We start from the raw sequence: 19,029 nt of genomic DNA, 5'->3' as shown, positions 1-19,029 counted from the left end.
CTACACAGTGACTAGTAGCACATTCAAAACTGGAAGCAATTTTTGTAACAACTAATATCTCCAAGTCCCATGTGGCAGAGACGGTGCAAAGGTCTTACTAGAGCAGAGGTACAAAGTTTTGATCCATTTGATCAAAATTGATCTTCAATTCTCCTTCAATCCCATCTCTCTTCTTCACCTCCCCCACGCTCGTATTTATTCTAAATTCTTTAACCTTTACTGATCCTCACTACTCCCTTTCTTCTGCCTCTGGAGTGAAACTATGCCTGGACACCACTCAGATTTACAGGGGTGGGACTGCAGATAAAGCTGAACTGCTTGAGATTCTTTATCCTTAATGAGCCTCTAAAGGAAGAAAAAATCATGCTTTGGACAGACAAATTGCCCGAGCAGGAACAAAAGGTAAAACCAAAAGGGGACACGCGTTTTAATGACTTAGGGAGAGGACTTGCAAGCTGCTTAGACTGGGACGAATTAAGACTAAATGCAGTGGGGTGGGAACTAGCGGGGAAGCGGTCATGCCCCCCAGTCTTCCCAGGGAGGAAATGCCAAAGCGACGTGCTTCAGAGAAAGCTTTGCGGTTTCTTTCATACGTATATGAAAGGGCCCTTTCTTAAAGGGTAGGGAAATTGCGTCTGAAGTCTGCGGGTCCCGTCTTCCCATTGTGAGGGATCCCCACTCTGGGAGGTCGCAGGGCCCATTTCTGGAGAAAGACGGGCCGCCTCTCTGTTGTGTGGGAGAGACTGTTTCCCGGCGCCTGGGCCTTCCTGTGGGGTCTGCGAGGTCCCCTCCCCCGGGAGGTGGGACCCCGGGGCAGCGCCTCGCCCCGCAAAGTCCGTTCTGCCTCACGGCGCAGGACTGGCGGGGGAAGCGTATAGCAGCTCAGCACCCCCTCGCGCCGCGTCACCCCTCGGCGTCTGGAGGACCCTGGCCCAGCAGCGGACCGGGCCGGCCGCCCGCCACGAGCGTGCGTAACGTGCCCCCGCAGCGTGACGCACGGGCCGTGCCGGGGCGGATGCGCGGGATGCGGGCCGGGAGGAGCGCGCAGGGGGAGGAGTGCGGGCGGAAGTCGGCGTCTGCTGAAAGGAGAAAGGAAAGGGAGACGCTGCTGGGTGCGGCGAGGTGAGGCTGGGAACCGGCGGGAGGGCGCCTCCTCCTCCCCCGCCCTCTCTGCTGAGGATGGAAGTGACGAAAGCAGCCGAGGAGGTCACTTCCTGCTGGGGTGGATGAGGAGGAGCCGGAGACGCCGCGGAGGAGACCGGACCGAAGACGGACCGTGCCGGGAAGAGGTGAGTCCCGGCCTCGCCTCGGCCGCCGGGGTGTCTGGGTTGGATCCGGGACCCTGGCGGGGACGGCGTCCCTGGAATCGGGGCCGGCCGCCAGGCCGCGTACCCACCCAGCTGGGCCTCACCCAGTGCGGGGGGCGGGGGAGGGTGGGATCCCGTGTCTGTCTGAGGGGCGACAGGGACCCAGGGCAGCGTTCATGCGGTGGCCCCGCGCAGCCCTGAGGCCACGGTTAAGGGAAGCCCGGCCCGGGAGGTGAATGGCAAGGAGGTTCTGGGGGCTGTGGAAGCCAGGACCCGGAGCTGCTGCGGGAAACCCGCAGCGCCAGACTGTGCATGCCTCACTCTTCGGGGAGTGGTCGCGATCAGAGGAAGGGCAGGGGTCCTGTGGTTTGCAGAGTTGAGACGAGTGGCCCTACTTGGATGGAAGTGTCCTTGCAGTGAATATGCGAAAGGCGTGCAGAGGCGCCCCAGGGCTCCTGGGAAAGGGACTTTTATGGGGAAAATTGGAGAGCTGGAGTGTCAAGAGAGGGTTTCCTTGTCAGGTTATCGTTGCAACGGGATTTGGACCCCAGGGTCGTGATGGTTGGAGGGAGTTCTGTGGCAGGGTAAAAGGCCTCGCGATCTGACAGCGCATCCTAGGAGTTAAGAGTCCAGGGCAGCTTCCTGGAGCAGTGGGGAAATTCGTGTTTTTCCTCCCTCATTGTCACTAAGGTGGAAGAGGAAGCTCCTGCCTCAGCCCCGGTGCCTCGTTATTATGTATCTCGTGTGTGTGTGAGAGTGTGTGTGTGTGTGTGTGTGTGTGTGTGTGTTTTTCCTTGTCTGCTCCTTCCTTTGGGGTGTTTATCTTGTCCTCGGCCGCTAGTAGTTTTGTAGACTGACACTTGCTGGTCTCCTTAATGTGTTTGGTGAGAAAAAATATTCAAAAGATCTAGAGAAATCCTAGGTTAGGTGAAATTTCCAAGATAAGGAATTTGTCCCTACGCGGGGGCCACTTAGGCATTCTCTCCAGATGCCTGCTAATGTGGATGCTGAGGGCCTGTCATCCACCCTGGGGAACAGCGAGGGTAGATCTGCCCTCCCTCCATGTCCCTCTGGCAGTTTCACCCCTCCCTCCTTTTTGCTAAGTGATTAACACAAAGCTCCTTGCTGGGAGGAACAGGAAATTTATTGAGGAACTGTAAATCTGGATGGAATGAATTCAAATCGCAGCAAGACTCCTTCCACTCACTGGCCAGAAGGGCTTCAGAAATGCCTGCTTTTCACCCCTTCCTGTTAAATGGAGAAAATGTATAATTTTTCTCAAAAAATTTTTGAGAGTTTGTGTGTGTTTTTTGAATAGAGTAAATGTACATATGGTGTGTTTACTTCCTGTATCCCAGGGTATTTTTCAAGGGGGAGGGAGCAGTTTGTGGCTGGGAAGAATCTTCCTTCTATCTCACATAATTCAGTAAAATAAATCAAAATCAGATGTTCATTCTTGAGTGGGAATCAGATGGATTTGGGATTTTTTCATCCTTTAAACTGGTACATCTTGGTGAACTCAGGCTTGTGTATCTTGGCATGTGGGCTTGTCTAGTAATAGAAGACAAACTGTTTGACTTGTTTTGGCTGCGTTTTTGGACCCATTTCACTGTACCTTCCTTTTTTATTTTTATTTTTTTACATTTGAAGGGTTGGTCAGGAGGAGGAAAACAAATATTAAAGACAGTGTTTACACTTTGTGGTTTAAAGTCAGGTGAGAGATAATTATGGCTTTTGAAGCTGATGACCTGAGGCCCATCATTTGATAACTTGGGGAGTAGCAGTTTGGAGGTGACATGTTTGAAAGAAAGAGAGTTGCATACGGAAAGAAGAACAGGGGAAAGGAAGTTTGGGGAGAGACTGCCAGAAAACTTTTGAGAGGATACTAAATAAATAGCATCTTAAAGTAATTGTGTGGCTTGTGTCTCTCAGCAGGCGGGTGAAAATGAAAGCCGGCTGTAGCATCGTGGAAAAGCCAGAAGGAGGTGGAGGTGAGCAGAAGTTAATCATCTCTGATGTACCTGGAAGCTTCCCTCAGTGGTTCCTGTCCTCTCCACTTGAGCTCTGTTCACAAATGTCAGACCATGACTGACACTCTCTTGGCTAGGTGGATACTGGCAGGACAGTTGTAGGCTTGTTTCCTATGGATGTATATTTAACATGTCTGGTCACCACACCCATATCCTAAGCTTTAGAGTCTCTTTGCTGTCAGAGACACAGTTCCAACCTTAGGGAAAAGGAGTTTTCAGCTGTATTTTCCTGAAACATTAGTTTATCTTTCCTGTTTGTTCCCTTTAGCACTTTTATGTCCTCACAGAAAGTAGGTGTATTTAGTAATGTATGAAAAGGTCAGCTTAGGACATCTGGTTGCTGCTGCCCAACTCTTATCAGATTTAATGATTGCCACAAGGATAGGTGACTTCTCTGTGCTTTCCTCTCCCCATTGTGGTTAGGCCCAGCTGACTGAGAGTACTTACAGCATGTTTGCAAAGCACTCTAGATTCTGAGCAGTGGAATGTGCAGTTGGGGTTGCTGGTATGTATGTACCTACCTCTTAACTAGCTTAATCTTGACCTTCTCACATGAAAGGGTATCAGTTTCCTGACTGGGCCTACAAAACAGAGTCATCCCCAGGCTCCCGGCAGATCCAGCTGTGGCACTTCATCCTGGAGCTGCTGCAGAAGGAAGAGTTCCGCCATGTCATCGCCTGGCAGCAGGGAGAGTACGGGGAATTTGTCATCAAGGATCCAGATGAGGTGGCCCGCCTCTGGGGCCGCAGGAAATGCAAACCACAGATGAATTATGACAAGCTGAGCCGGGCCCTCAGGTAAGGAAAAGGATTCCCAAATCTGTGTTAACAGATTGGAAGGAGACTAAGCTGTTTGGTGAATGCTAGATAAAAAGGGTATCAGGTAATAAAAGACTACACTATCTTAGTGAATAATGTGTCACTTTAAAGTGGGAGTAGAAGAGCTGTTGAATGTGAGTAGCATAGGCACAGGAGGAGAAAAGGCATATCTTTGGTTATACGTAGGAGGGGATTCCAATGTGGCTGGCACTGGATCCTGACAGACAGCTGATTCTGCTCTGTAGTGGGCGAGAGTATATGGTGAAACATGGATTGGAGTTCATTTATAATCCAAAGGATTAGTTTAGACTTCTCTATTAGAATCTGTTAGAATTTCTTTCTTTGGGCTTCCCTGAAAGAAACTTAGAAAAGGATGAAGCAAGTCACGGGAGGAAGATTCAGTGATACTGACCTATCTATTCCGGAACTGTGTCTGTGAGCTCAGGTTGTCCATAGCCTGCTGCAATATGTCTAAAGATTGATCACTATAAGTTTTCTCAGGTTCTTTTTTCCCCTTGTCGGTCTTACATTTCATAGTCCTTTAGCCCTCAAGGGGCTAGAAGGCAGTTTATGACCTCTGCTACTGCATAGATGTAAGACTAAAGGTTCCAGATAATTGAAGTTCTCCTGACCTGAAATGTAAACTCTGTACAGTGGCTTTGCTGTATTCTTTCACATCCCTTTGAGTCTTTGAAGGTGAGGCGGGCCACACTAGCTGCTGTTTTCCAGATCAGGGCATGCCATTGTTTGACCTGCCACCATAAAACAGTTGTACATTCCTTTGTCTGTCTTTTGAGCTTAGGCCTCCAGACTAACCACATCAGGTCTCCCTAGTGATTTGTCTGCCCCCACCTGGGCAAGACCAAAAAGAAAAACTAAGCAGTTAGTGACATGCAGTGCAACCGGACGGAAATGGACTGTAGAATCGAAATTGTAGAGAGATGGAGAAGAAAATGTTTGGGGCTAGGATAAGTGTTCAGAATCTTAAAGTGAAGTTGTCTTTGTAAACCTCTAGGCAAAAACGAGCTGAGTTGAAAATTGAGTAAGAAAATTAAGCTGTTAGGTCTCCTAGATCTACCTGGAGGGCCAGGCTGCGAAAGATTGGTAGTGATTTTTGTAAGTAATACTCAGAGCAAGAATTGTTGGTCTCAGTGGCTACCTAAGTGTATTGAAAGCTGTCAGTAGCTACAAGACGAATGGACATGTATTCCTGTTTTTACAGATACTATTACAACAAGAGGATCCTTCATAAAACAAAAGGGAAAAGATTTACCTATAAATTTAACTTCAACAAGCTGGTGATGCCCAACTACCCATTCATCAACATTCGGTCAAGTGGTAAGATACAAACTCTTTTGGTAGGGAATTAATTTTGAATTGAAAAGAATTTTTAAAAATCCAAATCTAAGACATGGCATGTTTAGGAAGATTTTAGAAACACTAAAATAATGTGATCCTTTGGATTGCCTCAATGTTCTTACTCAAGTCATCTCACTTATAAGGAGAGTTATAGGCTATTCAGTATCAAGATAGATTTCTTTGGTTTATTTGGTTGGTTCCCTTTTCTGCATATTGTTTGTAATCTCCTAGATACTATTACGCTATCTTGTTTGGGAATGATGTTTCATAGGTTTGTGATGATCTTTACGTTCAGGACTCAGTTTTAACACCCAGCCCAGTGGTTCTTTCATAGATGGGAACCTGTTTCTACAAACACTTCCGATTTTCTGTGAAACTACCAAGCTCTCCCTTATCAAGTGAATATCATCAAAACCACAGCATCCTTGATCAGAGAAGGGGGAGGTTCACATGTTTGCAGTGAAAAGCAGTGTCTTTGATCTGCAACAGCAAATCCTCAGAGAAAAAGATTCTGGGGTTACTTGACCTTCTCTCCTGTTAAGTGCAGTAGGGCTTCCCCTCTTGACTTTCCTGGTTATAGCTTTCCATCACAGCTCCCCACATTCTCTCTTGATGTTGAAAGCAGTCTCTCAAAAGACTTTGTTGTTGTGTGGTTTTTTGTTTGTGATTTTTTTCCTTATGCAAATCATACTCCTGCCCAAGAAAATACAGTAGTTCCCCTTATCTGAGCAGTATATGTTCTAAGACCCCTAGTAGATTCGCAAACCACAGATAGTACCAAACTCCATTCATATATATGATGTTTTTTCTTCCCTTAACCCCACTCATATGTATCTGTGATAACGTTTAATTTATAAATTAGGCACAGTAAGAGATTAATGACAATAATAAAATAGAAAAATTATAACAATATGCTGTAATAAACTTAATGTGGTCTTTCTCAAAATATCTTTGTGTACTGTACAGACCTATTTTCAGACCTTTGTGGGTAACTAAAACAGTGGAAAGCAAAACCTCAGATAAGAAAGGACTACTGTAGATTGTATTTAACTGTTTTCTGACCAGTCCATCAGTAAGTACTCTGTCATTGTGGCCTTGTATGCTAAGGCAAAGAATGCTGATCATGCAGTAATACAACTTCTCAGAAAAGCTGGAAGAAACCTGAAAAATTAGTGGGGGTGTGGTTGAGAGAACATAATGTTGAGATCCATTGCAGATATGTAATTACTACACAACAAGTTAGGGCAGTTTTAGCTTGACTCTGCTATCATTACAGTTTCATCTCAACTTCTGTAACCACTCCCTCCTGTCCCTGGGGCATGCATTTAAAAAAAAAAAAAAAAGTGGTATTGGAATGCATCTCTCTAATTACAACCTGTTTTCTTTCCTTGTGCCTGAGGGAGAGGCGTTAGGAAATCAGACCTGTACTCGCCACTCAAATCTTGCTTCCTCTGTTTCTCACTCTTGCCCCTTCCTTGTATGCCTAGAGGAATTGGGAATCTAGATGTATATACCAACAATTTTAAAGAATTTGTTGGTTTTCATACCCCTTCACCCCACTCCCAAAAAAATGTTTCATTCGTCTTGTTCTTCTGTCTTTGACCCATTTTTATCTATTGAAAATCCAGAACTTCAGCCACTTGGACAACCTAGAATGGGGCATTCATAAGCCCTGGGAAGTAATGTGGTTTTCCAGGGCAAGGAAACCTGGATCCTCACTCTGTGAAGAATCTGATCTAGAAACCTAACAATAGTGGCCCAGCACACCTGTTCTGCCCGAAGGCGATTGAACCAACATTGATCTTTAACCCAAGCTCAAGATCCTAATCAAAAAGCCACAAGGGGCCGGGCCAGGTGGCTCATGCCTATAATCCCAACACTTTGGGAGGCCAAGGCCGGCAGATCACTTGAGGTCAGGAGTTCAAGACCAGCCTGGCCAACATGGGGAAACCCCCATGTCTACTAAAAGTACAGGTGGCAGTCACCTGTAGTCCTAGCTACTCAGGAGGCCAAGGCAGGAGAATCACTTGAACCTGGGAGGCAGAGGTCGCAGTGAGCTGAGATCATGCCACTACACTCCAGCCTGGGCGACAGCGAGACTCAGTCTCAATAAAGCACAAGGAAAGCAAAACTGTGTACATTTCTTTTAGTACATCTATCTCTACTACCTGGTTGCTCACATCCTAGGTATAGACAACTGCAAAGAACTGGTGTCATTAGTTTTTAAAGAACTTTTGACCAGAGAGGCCAAATGTTGTTTAAGGTAACTTTATGATAACAAAGGAATGTAACATTTATTGAACATCTGCTTTATGGAGGTACTTTTGCTTAGTAGTTTTGTGAATTACGTTATTCAACTTTTCAGCCCAGTGAAGTGAATGTCTTGATATCCACATTTTACAAATGATAAAATTAGGAAAACGACAGCAAAGTTAAAGACTGATCAGGGTAGGTTGAATAGTTATCTATTGAACAGTTTCTAGGGAAACAATTCCTGAGAGATCGAGCTGTTGAAGTCTAGCCCTTATTTAATAGATCATACATTCCTCCTCTAGGTTGTGATTCATTTGTTCAACAGATAATGGGAGTTCTTTACCTCACGGAACTTACAGTTTAGCAGGAGAGATAAGATATGCCGGGTTTAATACAATGTGAAATGTGATAAGTACTCTAAATAGAGCTGTGTGGATTTAGATCCTGGAGGCCATTGAGATCATGTCCACAAGGTGGGTTGAGACAGTTGGGGTATTCTGGTCTGTGTATTTTATCATGAAAAGCATCCTGTATAACACATTATTAAAATATTTTCTTATATTTGCATAAGAAACATTGGAAAGATACAGAAGATACTGTCAGGATGGGGCAGGACAGACCAGTTCAGGGATGGACTTGATACCGCTCAGTCTATGCCTCTCTACTCCCACCAACCCCAGTTTTTTAATTTTTATTTGGGAAAACTCGAAACCTACAGGAATACTGGAAGAAGGACAGTAAACACCCATATATCCTTTATCTAGATTCACTAATGGTTAATATTGTAGCCACATTTGCTTTATCTCTTTCTATTTATATATACTTTTTAAATCTTTTGAGATTAAGTTGCAGACATCATGACATTTCGTCCCTGTGTACTTCAGCTTGTATTTCCCAGGAACAAGGACATTCTCCTCCATAACCACAATAACATTACCACACCCAGGATGTTTAACATTGATATAATTCTGTTATCTAATACATAGTCCGTATTCGAATGACAGTTGTCTTTTTAGGGTTTAAATTTTGTACCATGATTAATAAAAAAATTATTTAACAATGACATGCAATTTGCTATGCTTGGTACTATTCTAAGGGCTTTACAAATATTAACTGTTAATCGTCATAACAATAGGCCCTGTGCTGACCTATTTTACAGGTAAGGAAACTGAGGCACAGAGAGGCAAGCTGTCCAGAGGCACATAACTAGTAAGTGGTAGGACCAAGATTGGAACCTAGGCAAGGACCTTATGAATTCCATTTTGCCAGAGGGGGTCAAAGATTCCAGTGTGCTACTTGTACTAGGCTACAAGGTGGAAGCTGCCAGAACTGAGATTCAGACCCAGTTTTTTCAACCCCAGTACTTGAATTTCATGGTGACTTCATGGAGGTGGACTTCTAAAGCAATGGTATTCAAACTTTCTTTTTTAGCAGCAAACTTTTTTTCTAAGCAAAATCTTAGGTTTGATATCTCAACATATAAAAGTAGGGCTACTTCAGTTAATCAGAGATAAGGGTTCCAGAATGCTAGAAGCAATGCTTCCCAGTATTGCTTCTAGTCTCACCTCCCATTACTCCACCTAAATACATCAGGAAAATACTGCTTATTATGTCTCCTTTACAGTATACCTTAACGTATGTAAAGACTGAGATATCCTCCAGTTTATTTTTCTTTTTTAATAAAAAACTAGATTTTGGGCCGGCACAGTGGCTCACGCCTGTAATCCCAGCACTTTGGGAGGCGGAGGTGGGCGGATCACGAGGTCAGGTGTTCAAGACCAGCCTGACCAATATGGTGAAACCCTGTCTCTACTAAAAATACAAAAATCAGCCAGTCATGGTGGTGCGCACCTGTAGTCCCAGCTACTTGAGAGGCTGAGGCAGAAGAATTGCTTGAACCTGGGAGGCGGAGGTTGCAGTGAGCTGAGATGGTGCCACTGCACTCCAGCCTGGGCGACAGCAAGATTCTGTCTCCAAAAAAAAAACAAAACAAAACTAGATTTAACCAAGCATTTCTAAGTTGCTTAGGAGACAAGACCTTTCCCTGCACATTATACTTCCTTCTTCTGAATACATAGAAGTGGCTTTTTGCTTTTGAGTAGATGTACTCTTAATTGAAAGTCAAGATCCAAAAGAATCAAAAAGGGTAGAATTGTAGCCACTGTAATAAGCTAGTAGAAGAATACATTTGGCCTGGGACCCTCTTGGCTCTACTCAAATCATTTGCAAGGTCATCCATCTGTTCTTCCTAATTTTAAAATTAAATCAGTGGCTTTATTTTTTTTCCAGTCTGTGATTTTGTTTTTAATTATCTTAAGTCTTATAATCATGCATAATTTTTAAATTTGTTTATATTTCCTCTACTTAATTCCTTTTAAATTGGCAAAAGCACCATTTCCAATCACAAATACACAGCAGTTCTACAGTGTTATGTTTCTGAATGGCTGTTTAGAGGCAATCCCAAATTATAACTTAGTCTGAATTAGATGGTAAAGAATTCAAGAGTGAAGTTTAACTTGCTACTATTTTTAAAGCATCTGATCCTATAGATCACCTATAAAATGTGAGAAGTGTTAAATCTTTATTTGATATTACACATAAACCCACTAAAATGCCTTTCAATAAGTAAAAGAAATCACTTTAGATACAGATTTCTAATTAAATTGGCTATTATTGTTAAAACCAAAAATATAAAGTAGACATTGCTGCCTTATCTTCAGCCCTTGCCTTTAAGAGGCAAATGAACATAAAACACTGGTGAATCTTGCTTGGTTCTAAGACAGTGAAGGACTTTCCCCAGTATTTAAATATATTCACATAACTAGTTATGTAAATCTAAATATAAAACCATTCTCCATTAAGTTTTAAGATGGCATTCATCATCTTTGTGAAAAGTTGAACATTACTAATGAAGTCCAGTCATATATTTAGAAGGGGTAAACAGTGATAGATAGCATTTACTAAATCGGAATTACCGTTAAAATTCCAAAAGCCAAACATATTCATCTAATCTCAAGTCAGTCTTAATTAAATCAGGACTGCCCAACAAAAATCTGTCAGTCATTCATGATCTGGATTCTGGTTTATGAGATCTGTTAAATTATGGTACACATAAAAAAGTCATGAGGCATTTCTGTTTTGCAATAAATAAGGCAGTGTCCAATTATTATCCATTAGTAGCTTTTTTGAGATAATCTATCAAGTCTGCCCTTTTCTGCCTTAATGTCGGCAAAGATCATTTTTGTTCCAAGGATGTACTTCTTGGGATTCTCCAAATACTCCATCGGTATCCTCTCCCCAGGTAATGCCTTTGTTCTTATTGGCATCTGTGTAAGAGAATCCAGTGGCCTGACCTGTCTTCCACCCAAAGAGACATGGAGATTAGGCCCAGTCTCGTGCTTGCCTCCCTTTTCCACAGTGTGGCACTGGGCACACTTCTGAACACAAATCTTCTTGCCTTTCTCAATATCACCCGTATTTAATTCTCTCTTTCATCACTGGCAATATGAAGGTTCCTGCTCGGAAGCCAGACGTCCTGCTCTCTAAATCAGTGGCTTAAAAAAAAAAAAGTCCTGCAGAACAGTTTTCTGTGGAACATTAGTTTGGGAAATGAGGCTCTGGCATAGTGTTACTCAGTCCCATGCACCCAGAAAGCTACAGTCTTACGAATACCAGCAGACTCCAGAGTCTGCTAGACCAAGAGGAGAAGGCACCAGCTGATTGGGAGCAATTCATAACCATCCCATATCTGTGTACCTTTTTTGTTTCCACTCCTAGATCACTATACTTAAAATTTTGTTTTTTTCTATTTTTTTCTTCTCCTTTGTTCTTTCTTCACCTTTGCCTGAGAACCCTGCTGACATTATTATAGAAACTGCTGACACCTCCGAGGAACCCACAGGTCCCTGAGACTTCAGATGGCATACCTTTTTCATGTCTTATCAGGAGGATCACTGGGGAAGTTGAGAACTGTGAGCCACTAAAGTTGATGGGCTGGGCGCAGTGGCTCACACCTGTAATCCCAGCACTTTGGGAGGCTGAAGCAAGTTTATCGTTTGAGGCCAGGAGTTCGAGATCAGCCTGGCCAACATGGTGAAACCCAGTCTCTACTAAAAATAACAAAAATTAGCCGGGCATGGTAGCACACACCTGTAATCCCAGCTACTCCAGAAGCTGAGGCACAAGAATCACTTGAACCCAGGAGGTGGAGGTTGCATTGAGCCAAGATGGTGCCACTGCACTCCAGCCTGGGCAACAGAGTGAAACCCTGTCTCAAAAAAAAAAAAAAAAAAAAAGTTGACATAAGTAGCACAGTGTATGTTATCACTTAGAGCTTTACATTTTAGTAAGCAAACTTGGAAGAAGGAATAGTAGGTCCTGGATTTTCTCCCAGCCTCCTTAATGTTTGAAAGCAGGTTGGAGATGGAGATCATTCAGTAGAATTTGTTAGAGGAATATAGATTTGGAGAGATTGAAAAATATTTGAATCTCTGTGAAGCAGTGATTGTATATCAGGAATGATAAAACACTTGGTAATAAGAACTTAACAAATGTGTAGCCTTTTTAAAAATTAAACTGTTTTTACTAAAACATGGTCAGTGTATGTGAGGTATAGGGTCTTTGAGTTTTATCTTTGAGTTTTTAATGCATTACTTTCCATGCATGTCATTTCCAGTTTTGTTGATTTGTTTTTTGGTTTGGTTTGTTTGCTTTTTATATGCGGCGAAGCGGTGCATCCAGGAATGGGGCCTTGGCCCAAGCAGAGCTTCTCTGGAGGTGCAGTCAGCCAGGGCAGCTATGCCCCTCCCCACAGTCAGCCAGGGCAGCTCTGCCCCTCCCCACAGTCAGCCAGGGCAGCTCTGTCCCTCCCCACAGTCAGCCAGGGCAGCTCTGTCCCTCCCCACAGTCAGCCAGGGCAGCTCTGCCCCTCCCCACAGTCAGCCAGGGCAGCTCTGTCCCTCCCCACAGTCAGCCAGGGCAGCTCTTCCCCTCCCTACAGTCAGCCAGGGCAGCTCTGTCCCTCCCTACAGTCAGCCAGGGCAGCTCTGTCCCTCCGCACAGTCAGCCAGGGCAGCTCTGCCCCTCCGCACAGTCAGCCAGGGCAGCTCTGCCCCTCCGCACAGTCAGCCAGAGCAGCTCTGCCCCTCCCTACAGTCAGCCAGGGCAGCTCTGTCCCTCCCCATATCCCATCTCGAAATATATCTGTATTCCAACAAGGAAAAATGGGATAGCATGTGGGTAGTCTAGGCAGTGAGTAAACATCAGATGTCCTCTTGTAGCAACTATCTATATGTTGTTATTATTTTCTATCTTAAATGTTCTCGAATGTTTATATTTCAGTAAACCTCTACCTCGTCACACACACACACGAATATATATATATGGCCAAAATTATGGAAATAAGACTATTTGCAGAGCTAAAAATTGAAACAGGTAATATATACACAATATTTAGAGTTGCAGAGGAGAAGGCTCTTGTACCCATTCATTCATTCCACTTAATATTTATTGTGTACAGGAAGTACACAACCGTTAAGCCCTGAACTGTGAGGTGTACAGTTGTGAACAATAGGAAGTCCCTGCCATGTGGAATTTAGGTTGTAGAATATGGATAAGCAATTACAATGTTTTTGACAGTAAGGAGTACTGTGAAGACAGTGAAGAGCCTAGAGAAGGATGACAAGTTGAGTAGAAGCAGCTGAGCAGTAGTTACTAGGAAGTTGGAGAACTGTGGGATTCAGTCCAGTTGGAATGATTGTTTCCTGTTACTACTAAATATTTTGCACTTAGTTAGCATAAGTGATGATAATGAATGAGCAGTCCTCTGATGCAGGCTTTTGTATTTTCCACCATCACAGGTGTGGTTCCTCAGAGTGCACCACCAGTGCCAACAGCCTCTTCCCGGTTCCATTTCCCACCTCTGGACACCCATTCTCCAACCAATGATGTGCAGCCGGGACGGTTCTCTGCTAGCTCCCTAACTGCTTCTGGCCAGGAGTCCAGTAATGGTACTGATAGAAAGACTGAGCTTTCAGAGCTGGAGGATGGCTCAGCTGCTGACTGGCGCCGGGGTGTGGATCCCGTGTCCTCCAGGAATGCCATTGGTGGAGGAGGGATTGGCCATCAGAAACGCAAGCCTGACATAATGCTTCCTCTGTTTGCTAGGCCAGGGATGTACCCTGACCCCCACAGTCCCTTCGCTGTCTCTCCAATCCCTGGCCGCGGAGGTGTCCTTAATGTCCCCATTTCACCAGCCCTCTCCCTGACTCCCACCATCTTCTCCTATAGCCCATCACCAGGCCTGAGCCCTTTCACCAGCAGCAGCTGCTTCTCCTTCAACCCTGAGGAAATGAAACACTACCTTCATTCTCAAGCTTGTTCTGTGTTCAACTACCATCTGAGTCCTCGGACTTTTCCCCGTTACCCAGGGCTCATGGTTCCACCACTGCAGTGCCAAATGCATCCTGAGGAGTCAACTCAGTTCTCCATCAAGCTGCAGCCCCCACCAGTTGGGCGGAAGAACCGGGAGAGGGTTGAGAGCAGCGAGGAGTCAGCACCAGTCACCACGCCCACCATGGCTTCTATTCCCCCAAGAATCAAGGTGGAACCTGCCTCTGAAAAGGATCCTGAGAGCCTCAGGCAGTCGGCACGAGAGAAGGAGGAGCACACTCAAGAAGAGGGCACTGTGCCAAGCAGGACCATTGAAGAGGAAAAAGGCACCATCTTTGCCCGTCCTGCTGCACCACCCATCTGGCCCTCTGTGCCCATTAGCACCCCAAGTGGAGAACCTCTGGAGGTGACTGAAGACAGTGAGGATAGGCCTGGCAAAGAGCCCAGTGCACCTGAGAAGAAAGAAGATGCACTGATGCCCCCCAAGCTTCGGTTGAAGCGGCGCTGGAATGATGACCCTGAAGCCCGAGAGCTGAGCAAGAGTGGCAAGTTTCTCTGGAATGGGTCAGGACCCCAGGGCTTGGCAACAGCAGCTGCTGATGCTTAGAACTGGAAGTGGATTAGGAGCTGTTTATACTATAATCAAATACATACATGTATTTATGTAGCAAGATTTCAGGGTGGGGGGGAGGGAGTTAAACTGGTTTGATCATTCTAGGGGCATAGACTTGTATTTTTATGTTTTGGGGATGGGATGGGGTTATCTTCTGTTGTAAATTAGGTGGGATATGAACACACTTATTTTCCTGGTGAGTAGGACACAGGGAGGGTATTGAACTCAAAGGAGAAGGAGCCTCTATTTCCTGTTGAGGCTTATACTTTCTGACAAGGAAACTCCCAAAGGGCCAAGATACTTTTTGGTCCCATGATAGTCAGGTTCCAGACTTCTTTCTTTTCTATTGTATTTGTATGTGGAAAGCCATTAATGAATTTATTTTACTCCAAGAGATACACATAAAAGGGAAAAGGGCATGGTTGGGAGGTTGAGCAGTAAGAGACCATTAATACTAAGTATTTTGCCTGAAATGCTTCTTTATAATTATTTCAGGGAAGGAATAAGATAATCTCAGACTTACTGGGGTGGGGCTTGGGGAATGTTTGGATGTTGCTCTTTTTCTTCTTCCTTCTTTTTTTTTTTTTTTTTTTTTTGGTTGGTGTTGTTTGGCATTTTTTTCTTTTCCTTTTTAAAGAAAATGTTTTCAGGAAACATGAACAAACATACTGCCAATTATAGTGGGGCTGGGAAGGCACAGGAGCTGGCGACCTCTCAGCTGCATAGTTGGGACGGCAAACCCTGCTGTGAGCTTCTCAGACTTTTCACCTACTTCACCTATTAAGAAGCCATGAGGAGTTGTAAACTCTTGTTCAGGGAAGAAAAGAGGGCAGGAGGAAGTAACCCAATGCCTTTAAATACAAAACAGATGAAAAACAAAATACTCATTTTTCCTTTTCTATTGTGGGTTTGGGGAGCCAAACCAAGTGTGACTGTGAGCACGTTCACTGAGAGGCATGACAACATTATTGAAGAGGTCTTTCCATTATGTCTGGTTCTCTTATTTTCTTAAGTCAAGCCTTAACTATGAACATACTTTAAGATGATACGGGTCTGTCACCATAAACCTGTAAAAGGGCATCGACAGCTTTTCAGATAATCCAGGAATGTTGAGACATGGCTAAGTTTCTAGCTGATACTTAGTCATTCCCTCTTGATATTGTTGGGATGGGTAGCCAAAAGGCAGGCTTGTGGGAGTTAAGAGCCAATGATACCTGGAAACATGGGAGGTAGCTGGGGGTACAAGTGGATGTTGAGACTGAAGGAAGAGGTGGAAAGAAGACACAGAAGGCACCCAGATGCCAAAAGGCCTGGCATGAATGAGAGTTGGCATCTGTCCTGTTGTGGTGTTCCCATTCTTGCCATACCCATTTGCCCAGATTGTTCTGATTCTCATGTTCAATTGACTATCCCACATGAGACTACAGTTTATAGGCAGTGAGGAATTGTTTCTTCCTGGGAAATGTCCTTCCAGCAACTTCAGAGGAATGGGAAAGTGTTAATCTTACGTGAAGCAAAGGAGCCTGGACTAGGGGCAGAGAGAAAGAAGCAGCAGCCCACCTTCTTTGTGTTTGCACATGTGCCTATGTCGTGTACATTGGTACCTGACTGTGGCTCAGATCTGCGTCGCAGCAGCGAGAGAAGAAATCACTCCATATCCGATGAGAGGAAGGGTGGCACAGAGATGGTGTCTACAATTAGAGACATTTCTGACTCCACCTTAGCCTAAGCAAACTTTATATACTGAGTAACATTTGAAGGTTGTCTTTTAATGGTGGGGGGTGTTTTTTCCTTTTTAAACTACAGTGCTTGCACAAGAGAGGGAGGGACTCAGAAAAGGTTAGGGCAGGTGAGGGAGACAGTAGATGGCCTGGGATGACTTGAGTCCATCATACTATTGCTTGGCAGGTGTCCTCCCCCATGTTTGATTCAAATTCCATGAGTGACCTACCTTTCCCCAGGAATGGGACTGAGAGGGTAGTCTCCAGCAACTCAGTCTGCACAGGGCTCCCCGTTCAGGCTGCCTTTGGTGGTTGTGCTTTTGTAAGTTTCTTTCTCTGCACTTCGACTTACCTCTGAATCAGAAAGCAAGCCCAGCAGGTGAATGAGGGATGTCTGCTTGGCATTGCCCAATCTAACCAGGGAGGCTGGCTGGCCACCCACTGTCCGCTAGAGGGGAGAGCTAGCAGGTGTTGGTATGAACTCAGGAATAGAAACACGAGGCCTTTTTAAATACGAGGGAGAAGAATCCATGATGCATACCTGTAACCCCCTAGAACCCAAGTGCCAGAATTCCTAGATGCTGCTTCTGTTTGAACAAAATGTCACTGCTTTTACACTTGAAAAAAACACACTCGAAAAATGTTCAACTCCATGAAAAATATTTTTTGGCTTTAAGAAATTGTTTGGTGTTTAACTGTTTCCTTTGATTGCCATTCCACCAGTAAATTGTTGGTTGATTTGCACTGCACTCTGGGGTTGGGGTTGGGAGGGGAGGGTCCTTATACAGAGCCGAACCTGGGGTTGCTCAGGAAGTGGGCCAGGGAATGTGGAAGTCGTTGACATTGCCTGGGCCAAAAGAGTGGGAGATAGTTTTTCTCCCCTCAGCCCACTCCTGGTAGCACCTGTCGCCAGCCTGGTACAAAGCCAGGCCTTTTTCTTCTGTGAGCATCTCATCACTGTCCAGCAGCAGGTGGAAAAAGGGGGACAACAACCAGACCTATTTTTTCTCCCCCATTTTTTCCAAATTTTGCTGTGCCAAATGTTTAAAATTTTATAAATATGAATCTATTGAAATTTCCTTAATCAAGAGCTTCTTCGTGTAAAGTTTGCTTTTTTAGCTATAGAAAAAGAAAACAGTAAATATCTCTTAATGGCATCCAGCCTTGCTGAGCTCACCTTTTTTCCTGAAGAATGGGTAGGAGTGAAATATTTAATGTAAACATTTCACCAAGTCCCTTTACCCTAATTTTGAAGCTGCATTAAACCCAACTCACTAACACAGGGAATGATTGCACCCTAGTCCTCTGTGGGCCAAGAAACTTTCAGAAGCATTAAAAAAATAGTTGAAGTATATCACTTCTCACCAAGTGGGTAGAGTCAGTTGGCTGTTTGTCCCTTGTTTTTTATTTATTCCATAATTATGTTTGTGCTTTTTGTTTTGTAAACAGTAATGGAACGTACATTTTTATTTTGTTTAGAAGACAACTTTGATTCAATCTTTCAAGAACTGTTCCATTCTTGGTTTCTTCTTAGGGGGATAAAAAGTTACCAGTTAATTTGTTTTGAGATATTTAAGCATTCTTTGAGTTATAGAATTGTGATGCAGGGATTTGTGAATGAGACATTTACATGTGAAAGGTGACTTCACTAGTTACCTGCTTGAGCAGAGTAAAGTGTGTATATGTACATAAAATGTAAGTAATCTTAACTCCATTGTGCAGTGCCTTTTAGATGTTCCGCTTTCTATAAAGTCTTCAAATTTTTGCATATATATTATATATATATGATGTAATGTTATAGAAATATATGTATAATATACATATTTTTTCCAGGGGTATCTGATAGCTCTGTATTTTGTTATGGAAGTTGAAAGAAAAAAGTATTTTACCTCAGAAATTAAATAAAAAAATACTTTTAAGTAATGTTTGCTGAGAGTTGGTTTTGTTGTTCATCATACACTGTGCTGGGGTGGTCATGCCAGAGAATTTGCCAAGTCCGTCCTCGCTCCCCCACCCTCATGCATTGTTATTCCTATTGTACAGGTACCAACATAGTAAGGAAATAGGTCTCTTAACAGTTCTGGAGATTTTCCATTTTCTTGAGTGAATGGCTGCTACCAGTTAAAACTAACTGAAGCCAGAGACGCAAGTTAGGTGGAAATTTCTATCTCAAGATTATTGTGAAGATTCTTTAAGAGTACATGTCAAAGCCAGACACAAAAGACCACACATTGCGTGATTCCTTTTACATGAAGTGTCCAGAATAGGCAAATCTGTAGCGACTGAACACAGATTAGTGGTTACCAGGGAAAAGTGGGGAGTAACCATTAGCAGGTCAGATTACCTTTTTAGGGTGATGAAAATGTTCAGGACTTAGTAGTGGTAGTTGGACAACTATTTGAATATAACAAAAACTACTGAATGACAACCACTCTGAAAGGGTGAATTTTATGGCATGTAAATTATATCTCAGTAAAGGTGGTTTCACTGGGTGTTTTGGTGTTTTAAGTACAAAACACTTTTTTAAGGGCAAACCAG

The 19,029-nt window shown here is 43.9% G+C and overlaps 1 protein-coding gene and 1 pseudogene across 4 annotated transcripts, besides 6 other annotated features; one reads left to right on the top strand and one right to left on the bottom strand.

Annotated features, from left to right (window-relative positions):
- Positions 146–751: an enhancer, noted in NCBI's record as "NANOG-H3K27ac-H3K4me1 hESC enhancer chr1:157108646-157109251 (GRCh37/hg19 assembly coordinates)". NCBI's record gives its function as "activates a minimal SCP1, AML or CMV promoter by ChIP-STARR-seq in naive H9 embryonic stem cells {active_cell/tissue: H9 hESC(naive)}" and the evidence as "EXISTENCE:reporter gene assay evidence [ECO:0000049][PMID:30033119]".
- Positions 146–1,052: a biological region, named in NCBI's record as "NANOG-H3K27ac-H3K4me1 hESC enhancer GRCh37_chr1:157108646-157109251".
- Positions 683–1,052: a silencer, noted in NCBI's record as "silent region_1445". NCBI's record gives its function as "represses an Ori minimal core promoter by ATAC-STARR-seq in GM12878 lymphoblastoid cells {active_cell/tissue: GM12878}" and the evidence as "EXISTENCE:reporter gene assay evidence [ECO:0000049][PMID:35858748]".
- Positions 1,103–1,438: a silencer, noted in NCBI's record as "fragment chr1:157107959-157108294 (GRCh37/hg19 assembly coordinates)". NCBI's record gives its function as "represses an EF-1alpha promoter that drives an FKBP-Casp9 reporter gene in an ReSE screen in phorbol 12-myristate 13-acetate-treated (for megakaryocytic differentiation) K562 erythroleukemia cells {active_cell/tissue: K562(+PMA)}" and the evidence as "EXISTENCE:reporter gene assay evidence [ECO:0000049][PMID:32094911]".
- Positions 1,103–1,472: a biological region, named in NCBI's record as "ReSE screen-validated silencer GRCh37_chr1:157107959-157108294".
- Positions 1,210–18,414, top strand: ETV3 (ETS variant transcription factor 3). 3 transcript variants are annotated; one of them, XM_006711210.3, is made up of 5 exons: positions 1,210–1,289; positions 3,243–3,298; positions 3,897–4,134; positions 5,378–5,493; positions 13,626–18,414. In XM_006711210.3, exons 2-5 carry the CDS (start codon positions 3,253–3,255, stop codon positions 14,762–14,764), a joined length of 1,539 nt encoding a protein of 512 aa, XP_006711273.1. In that variant the 5' UTR covers positions 1,210–1,289; positions 3,243–3,252; the 3' UTR covers positions 14,765–18,414. The 3 variants fall into 3 exon arrangements, with proteins under 3 accessions (XP_006711273.1, NP_001138784.1, NP_005231.1); NM_001145312.3 differs by having other exon boundaries at positions 3,240–3,298; NM_005240.3 differs by lacking the exon at positions 13,626–18,414 and having other exon boundaries at positions 3,240–3,298; positions 5,378–6,460.
- Positions 1,283–1,472: a silencer, noted in NCBI's record as "silent region_1444". NCBI's record gives its function as "represses an Ori minimal core promoter by ATAC-STARR-seq in GM12878 lymphoblastoid cells {active_cell/tissue: GM12878}" and the evidence as "EXISTENCE:reporter gene assay evidence [ECO:0000049][PMID:35858748]".
- CYCSP52 (CYCS pseudogene 52) lies at positions 10,934–11,243 on the bottom strand (annotated as a pseudogene). The gene has a single exon (NR_001560.1). The product of NR_001560.1 is annotated as a CYCS pseudogene 52 (transcript).
- Positions 18,415–19,029: the final 615 nt, after the last annotated feature.

Source organism: Homo sapiens, chromosome 1, assembly GCF_000001405.40.
Source record: "Homo sapiens chromosome 1, GRCh38.p14 Primary Assembly".
NCBI lineage: Eukaryota > Metazoa > Chordata > Mammalia > Primates > Hominidae > Homo > Homo sapiens.
Note: the sequence above shows the minus strand (reverse complement) of the source record. Positions and strands in the feature narration are given on the sequence as shown.

Excerpts from the sequence above, each read along its gene's own strand:
- ETV3 (XM_006711210.3), top strand. The coding sequence starts at position 3,253 with ATGAAAGCCGGCTGTAGCATCGTGGAAAAGCCAGAAGGAGGTGGAG. Across the intron at positions 3,299-3,896 it reads AAAGCCAGAAGGAGGTGGAG|GGTATCAGTTTCCTGACTGG; the intron begins GTGAGCAGAAGT and ends CTCACATGAAAG. Across the intron at positions 5,494-13,625 it reads CATCAACATTCGGTCAAGTG|GTGTGGTTCCTCAGAGTGCA; the intron begins GTAAGATACAAA and ends CCACCATCACAG.